Source organism: Homo sapiens, chromosome 13 (assembly GCF_000001405.40).
Source record: "Homo sapiens chromosome 13, GRCh38.p14 Primary Assembly".
In the NCBI taxonomy this organism is placed as follows: Eukaryota; Metazoa; Chordata; class Mammalia; order Primates; family Hominidae; genus Homo; species Homo sapiens.
The window spans coordinates 74,177,545-74,200,706 of NC_000013.11; the positions used below are offsets into that span (position 1 = coordinate 74,177,545).

At 38.4% G+C, this 23,162-nt stretch overlaps 1 protein-coding gene across 2 annotated transcripts in view, besides 1 other annotated feature; it reads right to left on the reverse strand.

Moving 5' to 3' along the window:
- KLF12 (KLF transcription factor 12) overlaps positions 1-23,162 on the reverse strand; it is a 619,957-nt gene that overhangs the window by 491,456 nt on the left and 105,339 nt on the right. The window lies entirely within an intron of this gene.
- Positions 10,088-10,382: an enhancer, noted in NCBI's record as "tiled region #11269; HepG2 Activating DNase matched - State 9:DNaseU". NCBI's record gives its function as "activates a minimal TATA promoter and a strong SV40 promoter by Sharpr-MPRA in HepG2 cells {active_cell/tissue: HepG2}" and the evidence as "EXISTENCE:reporter gene assay evidence [ECO:0000049][PMID:27701403]".

Consider the following 23,162-nt stretch of genomic DNA (forward strand, 5'->3'; position numbering starts at 1 on the left):
TAAGGCTTTTAGTTTTACTTATAAGTTATGGGAAGTCACTTTATTATTTTAATAAGAAATGACATGATCATATTTATATTTTGGGAAGATCACTGGTGACAGTAAATTAATGAAGAAGCCTGAAAGTAAAAAGAATAATCAGAAGCCTTTGTACGAGTTCAGGTGAGGGAAGGCCACAGTGGTGCCGATGGAGAAGAGAGGCCAGACAGACTTGCAGGAGGGAAGCAGTGGATTTGTGGTTTAAGTGGGAGAGAAAAATTCAAACTATGAAAAACTTTTGATGCTAGGTAATTCATTTTGGTCTTTTAATAAGAATTCCTACTCCAGAGGATTTTACATCACCAAATGTTAAGAAGCTAATATATATAATACATTACAGTAATAAATGCAATACACTTGAGCATTGTGTTTGACTGTGAGCAACAGAAACCGCTCAGGTCTAGTCTTAAATGCATTAGGGGTTGCATTTTCTCACATACAAAAATCTGGAGTCAGGTGGTCCGTGGCTGGTATAGCATTCTACGGTGTCACCAAGGAGTCAGTTCCTTTTAGTTTTCAGTTCTGCCAGTTTTTAAATGTATGCTTTTGCCTTATGGTCATCAGCCAGTGTGGGGTGCATATTCCACAAAGGACAAAGGGGAGGCCTGAAGGGCAAAGGATGTACGCTGACTGATTCCATCCACCTTGTGTGGTGTTGACAAGCTCCCAAGACCTCCACTCACTAGGCTACTGCTTCATCATGTTGTCCCCTGACGCAAAAATGACTAGAAAACAAGGTTTTTGTTTGTTTGTTTGTTTTGTTTTGTTTTTTACACTCATTGCCTTAAAAGAAATGGGTTCTTTTAAAAATGGTTCTCTTCAAGGGAAAAAGGTCAGAACAAATATAAGCAGGCAATTAGTAGTGTCTGCCATAGTATTATAGAAAAGAGAGGTGACTCTGTAATACTGTATCAATACTGTATCCTAGTGCTTTTGACAATCTCTGTCTTAGAAACACCAGAGGAGTTCCATGTGCTTCTTTGTGGTGCTTTCAAAAACAGAGGGTTTAAGTTGACATTAAATTTCAGGAAATTGAATGAGGATGTCATGAAAGAAAGACAATCTCCCTAAAACATGTTTCTTTTCATTTATGAATAGGGACTAGTTCATCTCCTTAGTTCTTGGAGACACAATTTGCCTGCTTCTCTATGGACCCCAATCTATAGGCTGACACTGAGCATAGGACATCCCTTTGTCAGGGGGAGTTTTTCCATTTGACCCTCCCCAGCCTCAGAGTCTTCTTGCAATACCTTCTTTCACTAGTAACCCTCTGGAAATACTGGAATTCCATTTTTGCCTCACCCCCAGTTTTACTAACAATTTATAATCTGTTACAGTTAGTTATCCAGTTTCTTTTTACCTTTTAAAAATATAACCTCTAACTTATCTTAAAAGAAAAGAGTTATAGACACTATATGCAGTCAGCTGGTGGTCAATAAGTATTTATTGTGTCTACTATGTCCATGTGCTGTGAACATCGCTAGGCCTTTGGTCTTTCCTTCCTTTGTGCATGGTCCAAATATAGGCTGCGAGCCTGGACCATCAGACCTACTGCTCAGGCTCCTCCTGCCAAAGGGTTTGGACTTCATGACCACAGGCCTTTGGTTATAAAAGAGAGAGAAGCAAGAAAGCTTCCTGTGTGTAGTGAAAGCCCATTTGGACAGGAGCCATTACAGCTATGGAGGTTGAGAGATATGCCTATTAGCAGGGATGAATAAAACCATGAGGTGACTAATGTGTATGTTCAATATGAATGGTTGTGTCTCTCCTGCAGGAGAGATGATTGCTTCTTGGACAATAGCATTGCATCAAGGAAGATGCTCTTACTTATATATTACTGCCTTTTTGAATGTCAGTGTTACATCTTGCCATCCACCTTTTAGTATTAAGCAAAATGCAGAAATAAAATGATTTAAATGAAGGGAGCTGTATAATTTTGCCTGGAGATGTACTGAAAAATTAGGCTATACGTTAGGGAAAAGATTTTTACCCATTTGCTCAGTAATTTAACTTCTCCCTGACCTCCATTTTAAGACATATTGATGCCACAGTTCTGCCAGCTTGTTAAATTCTAGTTTTTCAGTGGCTTATGAAACTAAGGTTGCTTTATCAAAATCAACACTGCAGAATAGTGTACTCCAGGTGGCTAGAAAACCGACAGCTTTATCCCTCTTCTTTCTATGAATGGATGGAGATTTTAACTCTAAATTGCTTTAATATGTCCTAAGAAAGGAGATTGCAGATGTACAACAACCCGTACTTTCCAAAGAGTCCCCCAATCGACATCTGGTAATTTTGAATGATTACATAATTAACTTGTACTTAAAAGGAGGAAAAAGTTTCTTACCCATTTTGGGAAGAAATAGCTTACAGGAGAGCTACTCTATCTAAAGTTCAGAGCATGAAGAAATATCATATTTGTAACAAATCTGGGAGATAATGATAAAGACGTCTTCACTTATCATTTGTGTGCCTATTTAAGGCCTTCTGGCACATTCCTTGGCTGTTTTAAGAGTTTTGATTAATTGGGCTGTGGAGCTATCGTGCAATGCATAGGTTTCTCTATGGAAAATAATTCTAACTTGCAAATTAAACCTGAACTAATAGTAGGTGTTTAGTGTTCTTGATTAGACAAAAAGCCTTAACAAATTGAAAAAAGGATTTCAAAAGACAGATTGAGTTGGTTTGCTGAATTTAGGGAAATGCTTGGTCTGACAGTTAATCAATTGAAATACTTGCCATTGAAAGATTGTGTTACTAATTCTCCTCACAATTTATCTTTCTTTTCTCATTTCTTCTAAATAAAGGCTCAGAAATTACTGTCTTTGCCAATGAAGTGACCTATTTAGCATTTGGCTTTCCTGAAATGGGGTTGGCTAACCAGCAAAACTCTTAAGAAAGCCAAATTCTGCTTCTGAAAACCATCAGATTATGTTTTATAAGGTTCTTCACAATCATGGCATATGTAAGATGAAACACAGATGGGTGATGTCTTCTAAACTCTAATGACTTGACAGCAATTCAGAAATCTTGATGGATAGAGGCAAATCTTTAAGAAGAATGTACCAACTCAGCACACTTAGGTTTTGACTCACTTATTTTATTGAGAATGGGTATTGCTGTGCCTGGGAATCAGTAGATCAGGTTTGGACTCCTGCCTCAGCTATAGGAATAATAAATTATAAATATAAAAATTTAAAATGTAAATATTAATCAGAAATTATGCTTCCTGAGCTAATCAGTTGCTTTTTTCCCCATTAAAATATAGCTGAGGATAAATGACATTCACAACCTAAAGGATGAAATATTAAGTACATTTAATTTTGTATGTAGTCTGCTCAAATTTTAAAAGGTGATTTACCAATCTGATTGTTTCAGGTCCTTTGATTATATTAGAATTATTCCTGGAAAATATCTTTTTCTTTTGTTTTTTTTGACGGAGTCTTGCTTTGTTGCCCAGGCTGGAGTGCAATGGCACAATCTTGGCTCACTGCAACCTCCCTCTCCCAGGTTCAAGCAATTCTCCTGCCTCAGCCTCCCGAGTAGCTGGGATTACAGGCATGCGCCACCATGCCTGGCTAATTTTTTGTATTTTTAGTAGAGACGGGGTCTCACCATGCTGGCCAGGCTGGACTCGAACTCCTGACCTCGTGATCCACCCGCTTCGGCTTCCCAAAGTGTTGGGATTACAGGCGTGAGCCACTGCACCCTGCTGAAAAATACCTTAAAAATACATTTAGCATAAAAGAAAAAAGAATAGAAAACATTGACAAAAGTGAAAAAAAAAAAAGAAAAATTGCCAGAAAATTGAGAATGAGGCTGGGTGTGGTGGCTCACGCCTGTAATCCCAACACTTTGGGAGGCGGAGGCAGGCGGATCACTTGAGGTCAGGAGGAGACCAGCCTGGCCAATAGGGTGAAACCCTGTCTCTACTAAAACAAACAAACAAACAAAAAAAGAAAAAAATTAGCCAGGCATGGTGGAGCATGCCTGTAGTCTCAGCTACTTGGGAGGCTGAGGCAGGAAAATCGCTTGAACCCAGGAGGCAGAGGTTGCAGTGAGCCAAGATCGCACCACTGCACTCTAGCCTGGGTGACAGCAGAGTGAGATTCTGTCTGAAAAAAAAAACAAAAAAAAAAAAAAAGGAAAATGAGACATAAGAGATAACAACCCAATGTATGAGGACCTTGTTTGGATCTTGATTTTATTTGACTGTATACACTGTATATGTATCTTTGAAATAATCTTGGAATTTTGAATATGAATTTGGTATTAGATGATATTAAGGAATTATTCTGTTAGGTTTGATAGTGGCATAGAATATTTGTGGTATGGTATGTGTGTGAGTTTGTGTATGTGCACATATATATATGCCTAACACACATATATAGTACGCTATAGATACGTCTTTTCAGTTAGAGATACATAGCAAAAAATTCACAGTTGAAATGGCATACTGTTTGGAGTTTGTTTTAAAATAGTTTAGAAAACAAACAAAAAGTGTGGGAGGGTATAAATGAAAATAAATTGATAAGTGTTAAAATTGTTCAAGCTGGGTGATGAGTGCAAATTTTTTAATACTATTCTTCCTGCTTTTATCTATATTTGAAAAGTATAATCTCAATTCACTGCGTTAGGAAGGAGAAAAATAAACAAATTGGGAACAACTTCATTTTCTTTTATTAGTTTCTACTTTAGGCATCCTTGACAAAGAGCCTGTTTTAGAGATTTACACGTGTAAGGCTAGAGTCACTTTTGTCCAAGGGTGATTTTATTTTCTCTGTCTATGGTTATCAGAGAATTAGAGGACAAACTGATTGCAGCATTGGAAGACTAGGTTTAAATCAGTTCAAACAGCCTACAAACACCACATATATGATGGTCTGCCTCAGGCCATTGTATACTAGGGGAGGTCCCAGGATTTACTTCCCTTTCTGTCACCTCTGCAGAGGTGGAGGGAGAAATGGCTGGGATTAGTAGCCCTTCTGTCTTCACCAGCTGCAGAGGGAACCCAGGAATCCCCTCCAACTGCTGCACACAGTGTGCAGAAGAAAGAAGAGCAATCCTATTTTTGCTGGTTAAGAAATCCATAGGGAGAGAAATGTTCTTGGCATTCTCGTATTGGAATAATTGATACATTTCCTTATAGAAACCAGAGCATTGCTTCCACAAAACATTAACAACATTACATGCAGGAGTATGAAGAATGTGAAAATGTCAGACAAGTTTGGGAAATGCTTGGTTAAATACTTTAGCCTTTTTTTTTTATGAAGCAATAGGTATATAACACTTTAGTACATGTGACACACTTCCTTAGGGGCATGTATGGGGGACCCTGAATGCAGTATTTCTCAAACTGCTGTGACCATTAACTCTTTCTCCAGGAACATCATGTGAGACTAGTATTTCTTGGAAATCACTTTGGAAAATGCTGCCCCTGACCAAACCATTTTTAACTCAAGCCTCAAGTGTACAATGGACTTTTAACTTCAGTTTCTCTATCCTTTTGTGCCTACCATAGCCATATTTCCTTGACATGAATTTATTGAATAGTATTGATTAATTGAGTGTCTACTATGTACCTACTCTTTGCTTGGTGCTGGGGATACAAAGATGAATATGACATATGGTTCATGTCTTCAGAAAGTTTGTACTCTACAAGAGGAACCAGACACAATGCAAATGACCAGGTCAAGTGCTCAAAAGCCACATGAATGCGGGACTCGGCTATGACTTGTCAGGGATTTGCATCTATCTAAGCCCCTCTCTCTGGACCTCTTAATCTTCAGTGGTGCCCTCATATCACTGACAGAGCTGAGAAAAATATTTCTCCTTTCCAAATGCTACCATCTTCATCAGCCATATGACTCGTCATCAATCTCCTTTGACCAACACTCAGAAAACACTTTAATGTTCTTGCCAAAATCACAAGGAATTTTTTTTTCTGGTTATGAAAACATAATCATGACTACCAAATTATACACCAATTCCCTGCTTCAGGATAATTTTGTAAAAATAAAAAAAAATCCACCAACAGCGTATTTAGAAAAACTCTCAAAGATTCTCAGAAGCTGGGTGCAGGTAGCTCACTCCTGTAATCCCAGCACTTTGGGAGGCCAAGGTGGGTGAATCGCTTGAGTCCAGGAGTTAGAGACCAGCCTGGCCAATATAGGGAAACCCCGTCTCTACAAAAAAATGCAAAAATTAGCTGGGCATGGTGGCACATGCCTGTAATCCAAGCTACTCAGGTGGCTGTGGTGGGAGGATTGCTTGAGCCTGGGGGACGGAGGTTACCAGTCAGCCAAGATCACACCACTGCACTTCAACCTGGGTGATAGAGAGAGACCCTGTCTCAAAAAATATATACATTTTAAGAGCATTTATATTGTATTCTAATAAAGTTATGGTGGCAGATATAAATACCGTCCTTGCTGTTCAAGGTGTGATCCACTGACCATCAGCCTCAGCATCAGGGAACTTGATAAAAATACAGAATCTCAGGCCCAGCCTTAGACCTCCTGAATCAGAATCTACAGTTCACATGATCCCTGAGTGACTCAGATGTACAAAGATCTTGGAAAGTCACTAAATTATAAGCATAAAAGGTTTTTAAACACCAAAATAGTTGTAGTGGTAATGCTGACAGATTATATTCTTATATCATGCTTTAGGAGCTTTCTGCCAAAACACTAATAAATATCATTTCAGAAGATAATTAAAATATAGTTATAATCTCAGTCTGCCTAGAGCTCACAAACTTGTAGGGATGACAAACTTCTGTGAGAGCCAGAAATGTGTGTCACCAACTCAATATAGTAAACCAGGAAAGGCTTTAGTTTTTCCAAACTGAAAAAAAAAATTGAATATAATGTTTCCACTTGACCAACTCCCAAGGATGCAGCAATCTTTAACATGTATTTATGGAACACAGTATTATGCATTGAGAAAGAACTGTGTAACCAACATTCTTACAAATCATGTTTTGATGAGAATTTTCTCCAGCAAATATTTTCTCCATTATAAAATCTTCAAAAGTATGCTTGGATAAACCGTAATTATGGAAAACTTTATAATTATGTATGCAAGCTCAGTGCAATCTACAGTAGGCTATATGGGTTGCATTCACAGAAAGTTGCAGCAATTTGCTGGAGCTGAGACACACAACCCTCAGTAATACAATAACCAACAGAATTCTGTTAGCCAGTAGGCCAAAATATATAGAGAAATATTTTTATTGATTTTATTTAAAAAATATTTAACTGCAATCAGAAAAGTTTTATGTAGAAAAGTTGCAGCATTTGTCTAAAAGTATAATTTGTTACTTCAGTAAATGTTCTGCAGATTGGACATTTTACTATTGAAGTACAAGGTTGGCACTGACTTTTACACAGTGATTTGAGGCAAACACTTTACCTCATACAAATTATGCATTAAGTGCCTCTTTAAATCAGGTACTGGTGGTATAGACGAATATGGCCCTACTCCCTGGGAACTTATCTACTCTGTAATGTTTATCTTTACCTATTCTAGTCTTGGTCCAGCAAGATGGAGTTGAGGTACCCAATTGTTAATATGTATGCCAATATTTTCTTTAAGCTATGTTGCGAAATAAACTATAACACAATAAATATTTTTTCCTGTTCAATTAATAATATTTTTAAAAATTCCTTATTTAGGTCCTTCTCTCCTATCCCCAAATGGTCTTACACAGTCTTGGAATTTTTAGCAATAAACTTTAGAAATCATAGAGGCCTCTGAAACAACAGAGGAGGCTAAGGATGGAGTGAGGCTGCCACATACGGTAACTCGTTCATCAACAACTATTTCAGTCGGTCATCAATATTTTTTTCCAACTCCATCAATAATTTGGAGTGCAGTTTCAACTTCATTGACAGGTTATTATGCATTGTGAGTCTACAGGCTTAGTGTAGTTTAGGGCCAAAGAAATTCAGGCTGTTGCACAGAATAGAATTCTGTTACTTGACCAGGGTCAAGTAACACTCCTGGAACTTTCAGCACAGAATGGTGTCAACATTGGCCAGATTAATGACTTTGGTAAGACTTCTATTTTTTATTTTCTTGAGACAGAGTCTCACTTCTTCACCCAGGCTGGAGTGCAATGGTGTGATCTCGGCTCACTGCAACCTCCACCTCCCAGGTTCAAGCAATTCTCCTGCCTCAGCCTCCCAAGTAGCTGGGATTACAGCCACGTGCCAGCACACCTGTGCTTTTGTATTTTTAATAGAGACGGGGTTTCACCATGTTGGCCAGGCTGGTCTTGAACTCCTGACCTCAAGTGATCTGCCTGCCTCGGCCTTGCAAAGTGCGGGGATTACAGGTGTCAGCCACTGCGACCGGCCAAGACTTCTTAACTTTGTGGTAGGTCACTTGGAAGTCTTTAATCAGAACAGTGATGAGCTGGAATTGTTATGTTATTAGCTATGACTAATGATTAATGGAATACTTTAGAGTACTGAGGGTTTTATATACACCAGATGATAACGTATTCTTTAAATGCATGATCATATACCAATTGCCAGGCTCTTCCAGAAAAAAACACAACAAATAACTCAGAAATACAATCCTAAGGATCATCTTGTCTAAGAGATTTTTTTTTCTTAGGAGATATGTAAGAAACTGTAATACTTTGATATTAGCAACAGCTTCTCTTCCTGGTGTATTCTCATTTTAGCTTACAATTGTAATGTATTTCACTTAAAATTTAGTAGGCTCAATTCTTCTTACTTAACCACCTTGCCCTTCCTGGGTGTTTATATGAGGCCGTGAAGACCTCACCAAAGTCCAGTGTTCAGGTGATAGATTGCATGAGAACGGCCTGAGTGAGAGTCCTCCCCAAAAGACCAAGCAGTAGCCCAGGAACTTTGGACAGGTTGGGTACAAATGGCTGGAAATTCTCAAAGGGGTGATGCTGGAGGGTGTATTTGATAGAGACCAAAAGTATCCTAAGGTTTAGAGACACATCATCTCAGTGATATTGGAAGCTGAGGATAGCAGCTGTGTAACATCCCAAGGTGGTGTGTGAGACTTTAGCTTTCCTCCAACCCTTCCATTTTCCTCCATGATAGAAAAAAAATTCCTTTTGTTGTGTTTTTAAACTACATTTTACCTACATTTAAAAAAATAGTTAAGCCATGTAGTGCTTGCTATGTGCCAGTTATGACTAGGTATTTTGTTTATACAATTAACTGATTGACACTATATTGCATATACTTTCCCCTTTTACAGATGAGGAAACTGAGGCATGGGAGGTGAAAAAACATTTTCTCAAGGACATAGACAGTATGTGCAAGAGGTGGGATTTAACTCTGGAGTTTAGCTAACAAGTCTCGTGCTCTTAATTCCCGTTGTCTACTGTTTCATCTTATAATTCTATTAAATGAGCTATCATACAAAAATATAAAACACAGGGTCTGCACATAGAAGGTGCAACAAATTTTAGCTCCCTTTGTGTAAAAATGCTGATTCATACGCTTCCTTCTAGGAATGACAGGGTCCATTATTGCTCAGTGGTTAAGATTGCAGACAACAGCCTGGGCAACACTGCGAAACCCCATCTCCACAAAAAATACCAGAATTAGCTGGGTATGGTGGCATGTGCTGGTAGTCCCAAGTGGGAGGCAGAGGTGAGACGATCACTCGAACCCAGATGATTGGGGCTGCAGTGAGCAGTGATCATGCCACTGCACTCCAGCCTGGGTGACAGAGGGAGACCCTGTCTCAAAAGAAAAAAAAAAAAGAGAAAAAACAATCGCAGGCTCAGTGGTTAACTAACCTTGCCATTCCTCGCTAGCTGTGTGGCCACGGGCAAGTGTCCTCGTTTGTAACCGGGGATAACCAGAGTAGCTATCCCAGAAGGTTTCTGTGAGGTCGAATGAGATATCATGTAAAGTTCTTGTACAATTCTCGGTATATAGTAATCACTCACTAAATTTTTTTGTTGTTATTAGGAAGCTTATATAGAGTGATTTAATACCCAGCATTCCATTGGGAACATAGTAGACAGTAAGTAAATATTTGATGAATGACTGAATGAACGTATGACTTAATTAATTTGCCCAAGTTTGATTTGCCCTAGGGATGACTGGGGGCCAGAGAGGTTGTATAACATTTTCCTGCTCCCTGAAGGATACCAGGATGACTCAGCAAGCCTTCATTCTGGCATTTGACAGTGATGTGCTAAGCTGTTTGAACACTGTCTGACTTTGACATGATCCAAACTCTGACACATTTCATGGTTTTAGACACTGACAAACCCAAGCCAGGCCAGCCCCAAGGTGCTAAGAGTTGCTGCAGATAGGGGCATAGCCGGAAGAAAATAGTTATTTAACATTGTTCACTAAATGTAATGCATATGACTTTCAATGACCAGGCCTTACTCAATTACAATGATTTCTTTTAAAAAATGTCTATATAATAAAGACATTTGTTCTTATTATGTAGAACATGCTTATTATAAAGGACATGCTCTTCCTTTGAGGTATTATAAGGCCGGGGAGTCTATTTAGAGTAATAAAAATAAAAGAAAAAAAAGTAGGTTTAGTATAGTTGTGGTGTTTTGTGTACCTGATTCTTAGATAAGTTTTGTACTATTAAGTATCCGAATTAGTGTATTCTATCCATGCCATAATTTAGTAAGCTAATAAATATTTATCGACTACCTACTATACCCAGACACTGTTCTAGGTGTTGAGGATGTACCAGTGAATAAAACAGACCCAAATTATGTCACCTAGGCTGTACAATAGAAAATTTAAATTAGAATTATACCCCTTTGATGTCATAATACTTTTCTGAAAATATGCAAATTCGATCGTCAAATTTGATGATGGAAAGTTCAACGGTTCTAAGTCCCTTATCTTTACTCAGTTGAAAATATAATTGAAATATGTTATTGTTTCTTTTAAGAAATATATTTATTAAATTGTGGCTCAATTATTGTACCTGGCAAAACATGATGGTAAGACCTGGTAAAGTTAACATACCAGGTTTGAATCCTGGCTCTACCATTTATTTATGGTAAAGTTAACAGGGCTACTTCCTCTAAACTAACATTTTAAATATTATTTTTCATGGGTTGTTAATAGGTATTCAGCTTAAAAACAAAGAGTGGGCCAGGCGTGGTGGCTCACACCTGTAATCTCAGCACTTTGGAAGGCCGAGGCAGGTGGATCACTTGAGGCCAGGAGTTCAAGACCAGCCTGGCCAACATGGCGAAACCCCGTCTTTACTAAAAATGCAAAAAATTAGCTGGGCGTGGTGGTGCGCGCCTGTAATCCTAGCTACTTGGGAGGCGGAGACACGAGAATTGCTTGAACCTGGGAGATGGAGGTTGCAGTGAGCTGACATTGAGCCACTGCACTCCTGCCTGGGGGTTCTTGAGACAGCAAGAACCTGTCTCAAAAACAAAAAATGAAAAACAAAAACCCAAAAAGTGATTTTCCTGCTTAAATAAGTTTAGAAGTGCTCCTGTGCCTCATGAATATGCAAATATGCAAAATGACACTCAGAGTTTCATAAACCTATTTGATCACAGAATTATCTTTCCAGTGGAACTTTTTGTGGAACAATTGTTTCAGTGAACACATTTTGGAAAAAATGTTTGCTAACCTTCTTCCGTAATCTATTTGCAGTACATAGAGGAATTATAGACAATGGTAGACTCATAAGAAAAACTGAAAAACCAGTTTTTCTTCGGTTTTGTAAGACAACAGAACAAGAAAAACACATTGTAGATCAATAGCTTTCCTTCCCAAAGAACGTCTATATCTGGTACACGTTCTTCCTCATTTGCAGCGAGGCCACAGGGATGCTTCCCTTTCCGTAGATGGCACCGAGCTTAACTCGTGTATTGGACTTTGTATGAGGGACTGCCCCCATTCAACAGCCCCCATGATCAGTCTTCCATTTCTAGGCCTTGTTCCCTCTGCTAACTGTGGGAAGAGGAAGATTGTTTTGCTTTCGGAATAGGTAATATAGTCACATGGTTCAAAATTCAAGAGGTATGAAAGCGTGGAAGATCTGCCTTTCACCTCACTCTCCAACCCCTCAGTTCAACCAGTGTTGCTAATTTCTGGTGTATCTTTCCAGAGATATTTCACTCATATATAAGTAACATATACATATTTATTTTATCCATTCATCCACATATGTTATACACTCTTTTCACATCTTTTTTTCATCTTAACAAGTTATCAGAAATTGTTTTCGACTAGTTGAAACATTTAAAAAGTCATTAAAAAATTTTTTAATGACTTAAATGTTTAAAATGACTTTAAACATTAAAAAACATTTAATGTTTCGACTAGTCGAAACATTAAAGAATGTCCACTTTTTTTTCTTAACATGTGCAAGGTATTCCATTGAATGCAAAACGTTATTTAACTACTACAATATTGAGTAATATTATTTTTCTAATATTTTGCTATTGCAAAGATTACTGCAAAGAGTAACCTTGTCACATCAATTCACATGCTTGAGAGTATATTTTTAGTGTGCAATACTGAAGTACACTTACTGAGTCAAAAGTATGTACATTAGTAATTTCACAGATATTATCAAATTACCAAGATGCACTCCCACCGACAATATATTAAAATGTCTCTTTCAGCTTCCGTGACAACAACACACCAAACTTTTTGACCTTTGCAAATCTAATAGGTGAAAAACACTATCTTAGTAGAGTTTAAATTTGGAGTTTATATCTTGAAGAAGCAAGCGGTTTTATTTAATTGAAAAATATTTATAAAATTTATTGAAGAAAATACTGCTTATTTCCCTTGCCTTCTTCTACAGCTTACACTAAGGCTGATCTTCCTTTGATGTTTAACTGTTATCATTAATTCTGTGCTATAATTTAAGGGGTGGTGATGAACGAAGGCTTTGCCAAGAATGGGACTGGTTTCTGAGCATTATGCCCTGATTGTTCTTCTGGCTACTTAATTTCTTTCAGCTATTAATTTTTATGTAGTGAATATCCTCTTGGTTTCTAATCTGCTTCCTCAATTAATACTTTATCATTTGAAGGAAGGAATGAAAGATGTTCTTACAGTCTTCAAAATAATAATTATAATAGCTACCATTTAAGTGTCTCTTATGTTTCAGGTAGATGTTTATATGCATCATTGATTAAACTTTCATAGAGACTTTATAAAGTAGATATTATTATTTACATTTTCCTGATGGAAGTAACCCCGGCTACTGACAACTTATCACTAAGAGAGCTAGGATTCAATGTTTCAATGGCCATATCAACTCTTTCTTCTCCTTCAGAAGACAGTGTCTGAGCTTTGTGACAACTGTTTTCCACTCTGTTCAAAGACCTTTTTTTCCACTTATGTTTGGATTCCCAGATGTGTTCTTGGGACCTGCAGTTACTCTGCCAGTGACCTCTGGAAGCATAGGGCACTGCTACACATTGCTTTACACTCAATATGCTTTTGAAGCCAGAAGCTAGGAGTATCTTAATGTGAACCAAAATAACTAAAAAGCCAGGTCAGCAATCATTTTAGCAATAAATGTCTGCTTCATTATATTGTGAACTCTCTCTCTAATGAATTCCCCTTTCAAAGGATTTTATGTGAAGCATGTGACAAGCAGTATATTCTGTTTCTGAATTAGCAGGAAAATTCAAAGAGCTTGGCATCTGTGGCACGCAGGTGGCTGATTTATCATTTCCTATCTGGGTAAGCCACATCTGAGGTTTCTTTATTGTTGCCTTATCACAAGATAGGATTTTCCTTCTTGACCACTCTTAGCATCATAAGAATATAAATGCCCAAAGCCCTGAAAAATCTTTTTATTTTGTTGAGTTATATTTATTTTCTTTCACTTATATTTAACCAACTAGCATCAATGCATTCTGATGTAATCCTAGAAGGAGCTCATTTTCCCTCTTGCATCTCAGTGTTCAATGTCTGCCTCCTAGGTTAATGAGAGCCGCGTGCTTCTGCACCAGGGTTTCAGGTCTCTTGTGACAAGGAAGTAAATGGTCTCGGATTTTTCCTGACATCTCCCTGAAGAAATCATTGTTGCATGGCTGCACAGCTCTAGCATACAGGCCTACTTAGAAGACAAGTTAGAAAGTACAGAGCCTTAGACTCACACAAATGAGTCATTCCTTAGCACCCTTGAAAACAAAATTTCTTAGAACATCAGAAAGGCCAATTCAGGGGGAGGTATTTGGTATATATAAGCTATAAAATTTACCTTTTATTTCTCTCTGTCTATATATATATAAAATGTAAATATACGTATATATTTACCTTCACTAGCTCTGTCTTAAAAACAGAATGATTTAAATTCCCTTTTTAAAAATTCCAGTCATTCCCATTTTTGAGAGAAATTGTGAATGACTGAGATTTTCTCCTTTCACTTCAAATTACCTATGTTGACCAGGTATCAGTGGCTTTTAGGTTTATGGCTCATACCTCAACAGTCACATTCAAACTTATTGTAACTAGGCCTTGTAAACAAAAGGCAGCAAACTGATGAGCTCTTTGAGAAATGTGTGCTTTCCCAGAGAGCAGAAGAACCAATCAAGAGGAGTGCCTTGACTATTAACTTAAAAAAAAATGGAAAATAGTAACAACTTACTAATACTAGATCTAAAATATAAGCAACCCAAGCAGTCTGTTAGTTTATGTTAAAAAATACTATCTCTAACTAGTTATTCCAGTTCAATTCCTTTTGCAAACTATATTGAGTATAAAAAGCCACAGTTTGTTAAAGTCTTAAAGTAGAACTAGCAATTTGAACTAGTCTAGGATACCTGATCTTCCCTTTCAGATACGACTACAGTCCTTGGTTTTACATTTAAAAATTACTTTCCTGAGATTTACAAATACCCATTAGATCTGTTAGAAAGATATCATGAATGTGTAAGGTGTAGAGGCTCTGTAATATGATTTATGCATATTTATTATGCTTTGGTTTCACATAGTGTGAGATGTGATTACAAGGTAATGAAACGGGTTTTTGCATGTGGCATGAGAAATCAGTTTCGTTAGTTTATATTTCAATAGTTTGACACACATATTTTGTAAAATGAGTAAAGGTTGCCAATTCAATGGCAGAGCTATGATCTACACTTGGATGTCTTACATTAAAGAGGAGGCACAAGTAGAAATTATTTTCATGCTATGGACACTTTGGACAGTCTAGTAAAATCTGTGGACTTCTCCAAATAATTTTTTAAATTCTTAGAATGCACAGATTTTCCAAGAAAATGAATTATGCTGGCTTAGTGTTTATTCACCTTTCCCCACTATCACACTATTTGCTGCTACCTCTCAAATTATTACTAGAGACCCAGAGACAGCATACACAGGTATCCTTAGAATCAGATTGAAAGCTCTTTCTTTTAAGGAACTTTTTCTGTTTTTTTTTTTTTTTTTGAGACAGAGTTTCACTCTGTCACCCAGGCTGGAGTGCAGTGGTGTGATCTCGGCTCACTGCAACCTGCGGTTCCCGGGTTCAAGAAATTCTCCTGCCTCAGCCTCCCGAGTAGTTGGGATTACAGGTGCCTGCTACCACGCCCAGCTAATTTTTGTGTTTTTAGTAGAGACAGGGTTTTTGCCATATTGGCCAGGCTGGTCTCGAACTCCTGACCTCAAGTGATCCACCTTCCTGGGCCTCCCAAAGTGCTGGGATTACAGGTGTGAGCCACAGTGCCCAGCCAAGGAAATTTTCTTTTTAAAGATGTGGAAGAAAACCACTGGGCTAAGTGGTCTCTATATGTCACCTACTTTAATCAACAGACATACCTATGAGGTAGAAACTATTATTACCCTTTCTTTACAAATGAGAACCAATGAGTTCCAGGCACTAGCCGACAATCATACCATAAATAAATGGTACAGCCAGGATTCAAACCCAGGTTTATTTGACTCTACAGCCCACACTTCCATTCCTATGCTATGCAAACTGGTTACTGCCAAAGTTACTCATAGCCTGAGATTCTGTGTGTTTAAGTCAACAAGGATCATTTCCCACCTTTTGTTCCAATTTCCTCCAAGCCTTCATCTACTTTCCACATGCAGCAAGAACACTATGCACAGTTTAAATAATACAATCAAAGACTTCCTGCTTAGACTAAATAAAATTCAATCTAAAAAGTCAAAAAATATGGAAGAAACCAACATTATAAGCCTAACTCTCAGCAACTTCCTCTCTGCCCCACATACCTTCACGATGTCTGATCTCTTCCTTTCTTCTGGCACTTTCTGTTAGGAAGAAAGTTCTGATGATTGCTAACGTGTCCCTATGCTACTAGTATTTGTAACAGAAATGTATATTTATGTTCTTTAGCTTGGTTCCTCTGCCTTTGTTAAAGCCTTCTGAAGACAATAGTTTTCTAAGTGGATGGTGATCTTTTGTTTTGCTGAACATTTTGATGGGTTTGGATATATATTTGTTGTAAGGGAAAGATTTCATTTTCTTTTTTCCTAAAGGGAACATAATTGGGAGAACTGCAGGCACCCTTGGAAGGAAGAATGGGAGAAGGGAGAACAAGGAAAGAAAAGACAAGATGTGAGACAGGTGCATGATATATAACACTTCTCTGTGCCCACAAATCTCCAATCAAGTTGTTTTCTGGGGTGGTGGTGGTGAAAAGGGTGCAGCAGAGCATGCATGAGTTCTGGAACCAGAATATAGCACACAGAGCAGAAATGTTATTGAAGAATTTCTCAACTGCTTCTCTAGGAATTAATGGACACTGTCTTAGTCTGTTTGCGCTGCTGTAACAAAATACCTGAGACTGGGTAATTTATAAAAAAGAGATATTTATTTTCTCACAGTCGTGAAGGCTTGGAAGTCCAAGATCAATGTGCCAGCAGGTTTGGTTATCTGGTAAGGGTTGCATCCTTAGAAGGGGAGGAACACTGAGTCCTCATAGGGCAGGAGGGAGGACAAGCTAGAAGAACTCCCTTCTTCAAACCCTTTCATAAAGACACCTAATCCCACTCACAAGGGGGAAGAGACCTCATGACCTAATTGCCTCTTAAAGGTTCCATCTCCTAATACTAACACTTTGGCAAATACCTAAACTATAGAAGAAACCAAATATATGTTGTGTTTTAAGGGCCAAGAGGGGGCCTAGATGACATAGGAATTTCATGTTTAAAGATGCTTAGTGATAGGAAAAAAACAAAAGAAATGCATTCTGATGTGTTTGGTTTGAGATAGATGTCACTCCCATATTTCAAAGATTGAATCATAGCACTTTTTCTGCTTATGCTGAAAACAAACCAGATTTTAAAAATTCCTTTTATGTAGATGCAGTTGTATCTATAAATCTGTTCAACTCATAATTATCTTTTTGCCTCAGCTTTCTCTAGAGCAACTCTTTCAGGACTCACTTCCTTTGAAGAGTTTGTTTTGACTTCTTAGGTGAATTAGCTTAGCAGATGGGGTGAAAAGGCATCGCGGAAAGCAGACTGAACAGGAGCTTTGGCACCAGAAAGCTCTCTGTGGTTGGTCCTTTGGCCAGCTACAAGGTGTCTAATCTTCACTTTTCCAAGCTCCAGTTTTTTTATTGGCAGGAATATCTCATAAGATTAAATTAAAATGTCATTTAAAATGTGTATCACCATTCACTAAAAGAAACTTACAGACAGCAGAATTTAATTTAACTACTTTTAGTGGAAAAGAAAGTTATTAAAGATGGTTTATACAATCTTTGAGAGGGCCAAAAAATCAGACACAGAGGCCTCACAGCCAGGAAAATATTGAAATCACATTCTTGCTGGGCGTGCGAACTGCAAGTCCACACTGAAGGGCTGAGCAAGGGACACCTACTGCTATGAATCCTAGAATGACAGGGTCCTGTGCCATGTTTCACAAGCCTGCCAGGGAAAGGGGTCCTCATGCTGTGAAGTCTCTCTGTTAAGGTTGGGAGGTAGGCTTCATGTCTGAGATTGGGAAGCAGTCTTGGTTCCTACCTTGAGAGGCAAGACTCACAAACAGGGAAATTCCATACATTTAATTAAGGTTTTTTGTTTGTTTGTTTGTTTTGAGATGGGTTCTCACTCTGTTGCCCAGGCTGGAGTGCAGTGGTGTGATCTCGGCTCACTGCAACCTCCACCTCCTGGGTTCAAGTGATTCTCCTGCCTCAGCCTCCCGAATAGTTGGGATTATAGGCACACACCACTATGCCTAGCTAATTTTTGTGTTTTTTAGGAGAGATGGCCAGGCTGGTCTCGAACTCCTGACCTCAAATAATCAGCTCGCCTTGGCCTCCCAAACTGCTGGGATTACAGGTGTGAGCTACCGCACCTGGCAGTTGAATTTTTTTTATGGCTGATGGCCACACACGTGACATTCATTACAATCCAAGAATTCATGATAATGGCACAAAAGAAAAACTCAAAAAATGTATTTACTGTGGTTACAAGGTATTATGAAAAGAAAATAAGACAAATTATGTTACTCTTGATATGCATGCATATAGCCTTTCATTAGCTCTTTTATGTTTTTAAAGCACTTACCAAGTGCAAAATGTTTCATTTTATTTATTTATTTAGAGAGCACACATACAACAACCATGTGTCCTCTTAGAGCATGCATTGCAAGACAGCATATTTGGTATGTTGGATATCTTGTGTTTTTTCTCTAACTTCACTTACCACTCTCACCACCCTGCTCTGGAAATTAGGACTCTGATCTACCCAAGCAGGCTTCCTCTGACTTCTGGTTGAGTTGGTCAATGGGGAGCACCAGCAGGAGATCAGAAGGAGGAGGGAGAGAGAAGACAGATTATTTATTGCCCAGGCCCTTTTCTTGCAGGTGGGGGAGAACATTTTGGGTGTGCTGCAACCCTTGACCCAAAGTCACAGATACTGTCAAGAAAGAGATAAGAGCAAGTAGTGGGAAAGAAGATGGATTCAACTCTATGTCATTTAAAATGCTGCTTGCATTTTTAATGGAAATGTACATCTGTGTTCTACCATCTTTTGGTAGAGTCATCTGAGGATGGTAGGTTTCATTAAATATTCTCCATCTAAGCTTTCTGCATCATGAGTTTCTGCTCCACTGGCTTCGTTAGCCTGAGCATGGTCACAGTGCCCCCTTTAACCAGCCCAGTGGTACCTTTTGTAGTTTTCCTACATTCTGTTGACACCCTCAGAAGTAATCCTTTTAAAAAATTCTCTTCAAGTTATACAATGTGAATGTGCCCTCTCTTTTCTTTCTGGACTCTGGTGCCCTGAGAATGGATTTTTAAAAGATACTGTAGGATATATAGTAATATTTGTTTAGAATTTAAAAAAAATTTATGTTTCTACATCTTTTTTATTAAGTTAGTTTAATTTAAAATGTGCATGCATGGAGGGACAGTGAACCCAATAGAAGTCTGGGAAAGGTAAGATTTTACTCCCAATAATTAATTTGGGGAGCATTTATTTGATTTCTTCAATATTACAGGCTCTGAGCAAAAATTTCAGATACTGAGATGAATTTGACCTGTGTTCAGGTATAAGCCTTAAAGAGATAAGATCTCAGACAACTCAGAATTTATTTTTTACAGCAACTTTCCAGTACATAATATTTATTGAAATAAAAATAATAACTAGAATTATTCATATGGTTATAATAAATAATTGATAAGAAAACATACAAACACTGTCTTGATTTTCTAGTTTCTTTTGATGGTTATTTTGAATTCTGTAAAGTAATTTTTCAGGCAATTTTACAAAATTGCAAGTTTTAAAATTCAAGGATATTTATTAAAAACAAACCAATATTATTTGGGCAACTCAATTTTCATGAGAGTAAAGCTGAGGTTAACTGGTATGTAAAGTTAAAATTTCAAGAGTGTGTAAGGATCATTCTCCCTCCAATTGTTTACAAGCATACACACTCACTCACACACACACCCCACACACTCACACAGACACACTCACACACTTAGATACACTCACTCATACTCAGTGAATAACTCTGATAATTCTAACTTTATACTAGTGATACTTTTGGTTCTATATGTATGTAAATATACAAAATATGGGAACTCTTCCTGTCTTCTGGTAAGATGAGGGTAATAGTAAGGGAAATATATAAATGTTTCCATCTAGAGCATCATGTTATGCATGCATCAAGCAAATATAATGTAATAGTGATAGTTTTAAAACCTTTCATAGTCACTGCTATTTTTATCACCCAGATGTGCACGCAATAAGCATTTTATGAAATATTTTCATATTCTGTAAATTTTTCTTGCCTCTGAGGCTCCCCACCCATTTTGTCAATGGCAGTCATCCCTCCAGGAGGAGGGTGGATACCATCTGGAACAAAGAGGGCATTGATCAGGCTTGCGTTTCAAAGCCAACTTAAAAAAAATTTTCTAGCAACAGAGTTGAGCCTTTTAGGGAGTGAAAGAGTTGTTTTTCCTAAAATGCTGAAAAGAAACAAAAGGAGAGAAGAGAAAAAAAGAAAGAAGGAAGGAAGGAAAGAAAGAAAACAATGAAAGAGACAAAGAAAAAAATCTCTCTTGTTCAAATATCAAAAGCAAAGATGGGGAATTTTGTCCATAAACCTCAAGTAGAGAGAAAGCAAGAGGAGAGAGTGGAGAGTCTCCTGGTCAGAGAGGCAGACACTGCTAGAGACCCAGGCGGGGAAAGAAGTGTCTCCTGGCTTTACTCCTGAGGCTAAAACCCTGGGGTATGGTGAAAGCAAGCATAGGTGGGTGTGGCTTTCAAAGGCTGTTAGAAAAAATATAAAAGAGAAACTGCAGAATCCCAGAATGGTAGGATTTTTCTTCCCTTCCTGGGCACTACCTGGGAAGGTCAGATATCACCCCAGAGAAGTGCTCCGTTCAATGTGGCACCTTGTAGACCGGCGCTGCTCTAAGCGTGGTCCTGAGAAGGTGCTGGCCTGTAATCCTCTGTTAGACCTTCCATCTACACTGAGATAAGTTCTGAAGGGGAAAAATAAGAATCTGGAAACTTTTAAAGCAATTTCATAGACTAGTCTTATGCCTGTTGAATCAAATAGTAATTCATAAAAACTGGGGCCTGTATTGTGTACCTCTTTGTTATTTTGTTTCTAGTATTTTTTATTGTATTTTACAAAAATGTTGATCTGTAATGAGTTGAAAAGAAAAAAACCCAGTATAGATAGTTTGAGAAGTGTTATCCTAGACGATGTCTTACAAGTGGCTGAGAGAGGGCTCATCCAGGGGGCTGGAAGTCCTGCTCCCAATTTCTCTTCTAACTCTGCACACACCTGAGTCTCATGTGCCATGGAAGGAAGCCAAGACTGTATGTATTTGACTGTTAGGGGACATAGGAGGTATCTGGATGGAGACTCCATGAGTCAGCTGTGGAACTACAGCAGAGTGATCCCGCTGCTAAAGGGCAGGTGGCTTAACCAGAGCTGGAGGAAGGATTTAGCTGATACTCACAAGCTCACAGTGCCAGTGAGAGCCGAGGTGGGATGGAACCAGCATGAGAACAGCCCATGAGTCCACTAGACCCAGACTTCATTCTCACAGGACAGCCAGAGACTGGCAGTTAGGATATTCCTGCAGAAGTCAGTGCGGATCGAAAGGTCATTCATTCCTGAAATCCCTGGGCATAGCCCTGAGATGCCTTCTAACCCAAAAACTCCATGGTCTTGAAAATTCCTGACATATCCGAAACCATCTTGGGAATGCAGGTGGAGAAGAGTGAAAGGACTAACGATTTACTTCAAAGTGACTGCCCCAAAGAAATGATATACTTCAATTCAACAGTCACATTGTTCTCATTACCCAGAAGTGTGGTAGCTTGAGAGCGAAATTAGATAAAATGTAGGAAATAAAGAAATTACATTTTTTTAAACCTGACTGGTAGTGCATGAATTATTAGCCCTGCTGTACACTCAATAAGTGGTGACAATAAAAACCATGCCTGGCATGTAGTGCACTATTAATAAAGGCTTGCTGAAATATTAGGAGGAACTCACAAGAATATTACATCTCAAATATTGGCACACAAACAGAGTTAGGATGTACAGGACCTGTAGAGGCTCTCTCTACTTGCAGGATGGCAGAATCACAACTTTATTGCCCAATATTTTAAGTGAAACAAAAGAATTGTGTAAGAGTCATAGCCATGTTGATTGTCAATAACGTCCTGAATACATGATCAGATAGAAAGTTCTCCAAGTCATGGGAATGGGCCTTAGGAGAGAGGATTTGAAATTTATTCACTTTTAGATTTGCTGGGCTTCCCAAAAAAATGGGATACAACAGGTCGTGGTGATCTGTCCCTGAACTCTACACAGAGACTTCATCTTAGCAATCCCAAGCCCTCTCTCAGGTATTACCTGTGACTGTTGATGACATCTAGTAAGTAATGATCACTAGTCATTTTTTTTCAGTAAACACTTATAGCATCCTACTTAACTTCTGGGTGCTGAGGCCTTAAAGATAATTAAAGTTGATTTTTAAATTTAAAGAGCATTCTTCCCACTCAAGGAGATCACACGGCAGTGGGAGAAACACAAGGGTAAACTGAGAGACCAAGCTGTGATCATTTGCATAATGGCAGAGAAGGGAGCTAGAGAGGAATGGATGTGGGGACATGGCTAACCTTTTCTAAGCTTGCTCAGGGGGGGGGTTTCCTGAGAAGGCCTAATTGGATTCTTTTAGCCTGAGTCCTGCATAATTCAGAGTTCACCAAGGGTGGATGGTAGATTCAGGCATACCAGAGGATGGAAGCAATGAGGAGAGAAAAAGCTATATGTTTATTGGCAGTAGAACTGACCGGCTGGGGGAACTTGATGTTTCTGTGATTGGAGCATGAAGCATGAGTGTGTTAAGCAAAGGAACAGAAAAAGTCTGCAGGATCATATTATGTGTCATGGAAGGGTTTAAAGATGGAATCATCTGCCTGGATTTCGTCTTGGAAATTTTGTTCTAGGAATTAGATAGCCGGTAGAGTGGAGGGAAAAGACTGAAGATTGAAGAATGTAAAACCAGCTTGCAAAAGCCCTGGTGAGAGATGATAGTCAAGATCTTCCGATTGCCCAAGTCAGACTCACTCAGATCTTTCTGAGAAAAAGGGGATCTCTTCACGTGCAAACTGGACATAGAGATCATCAGGACTGGTTAATCTCAGGTCTGC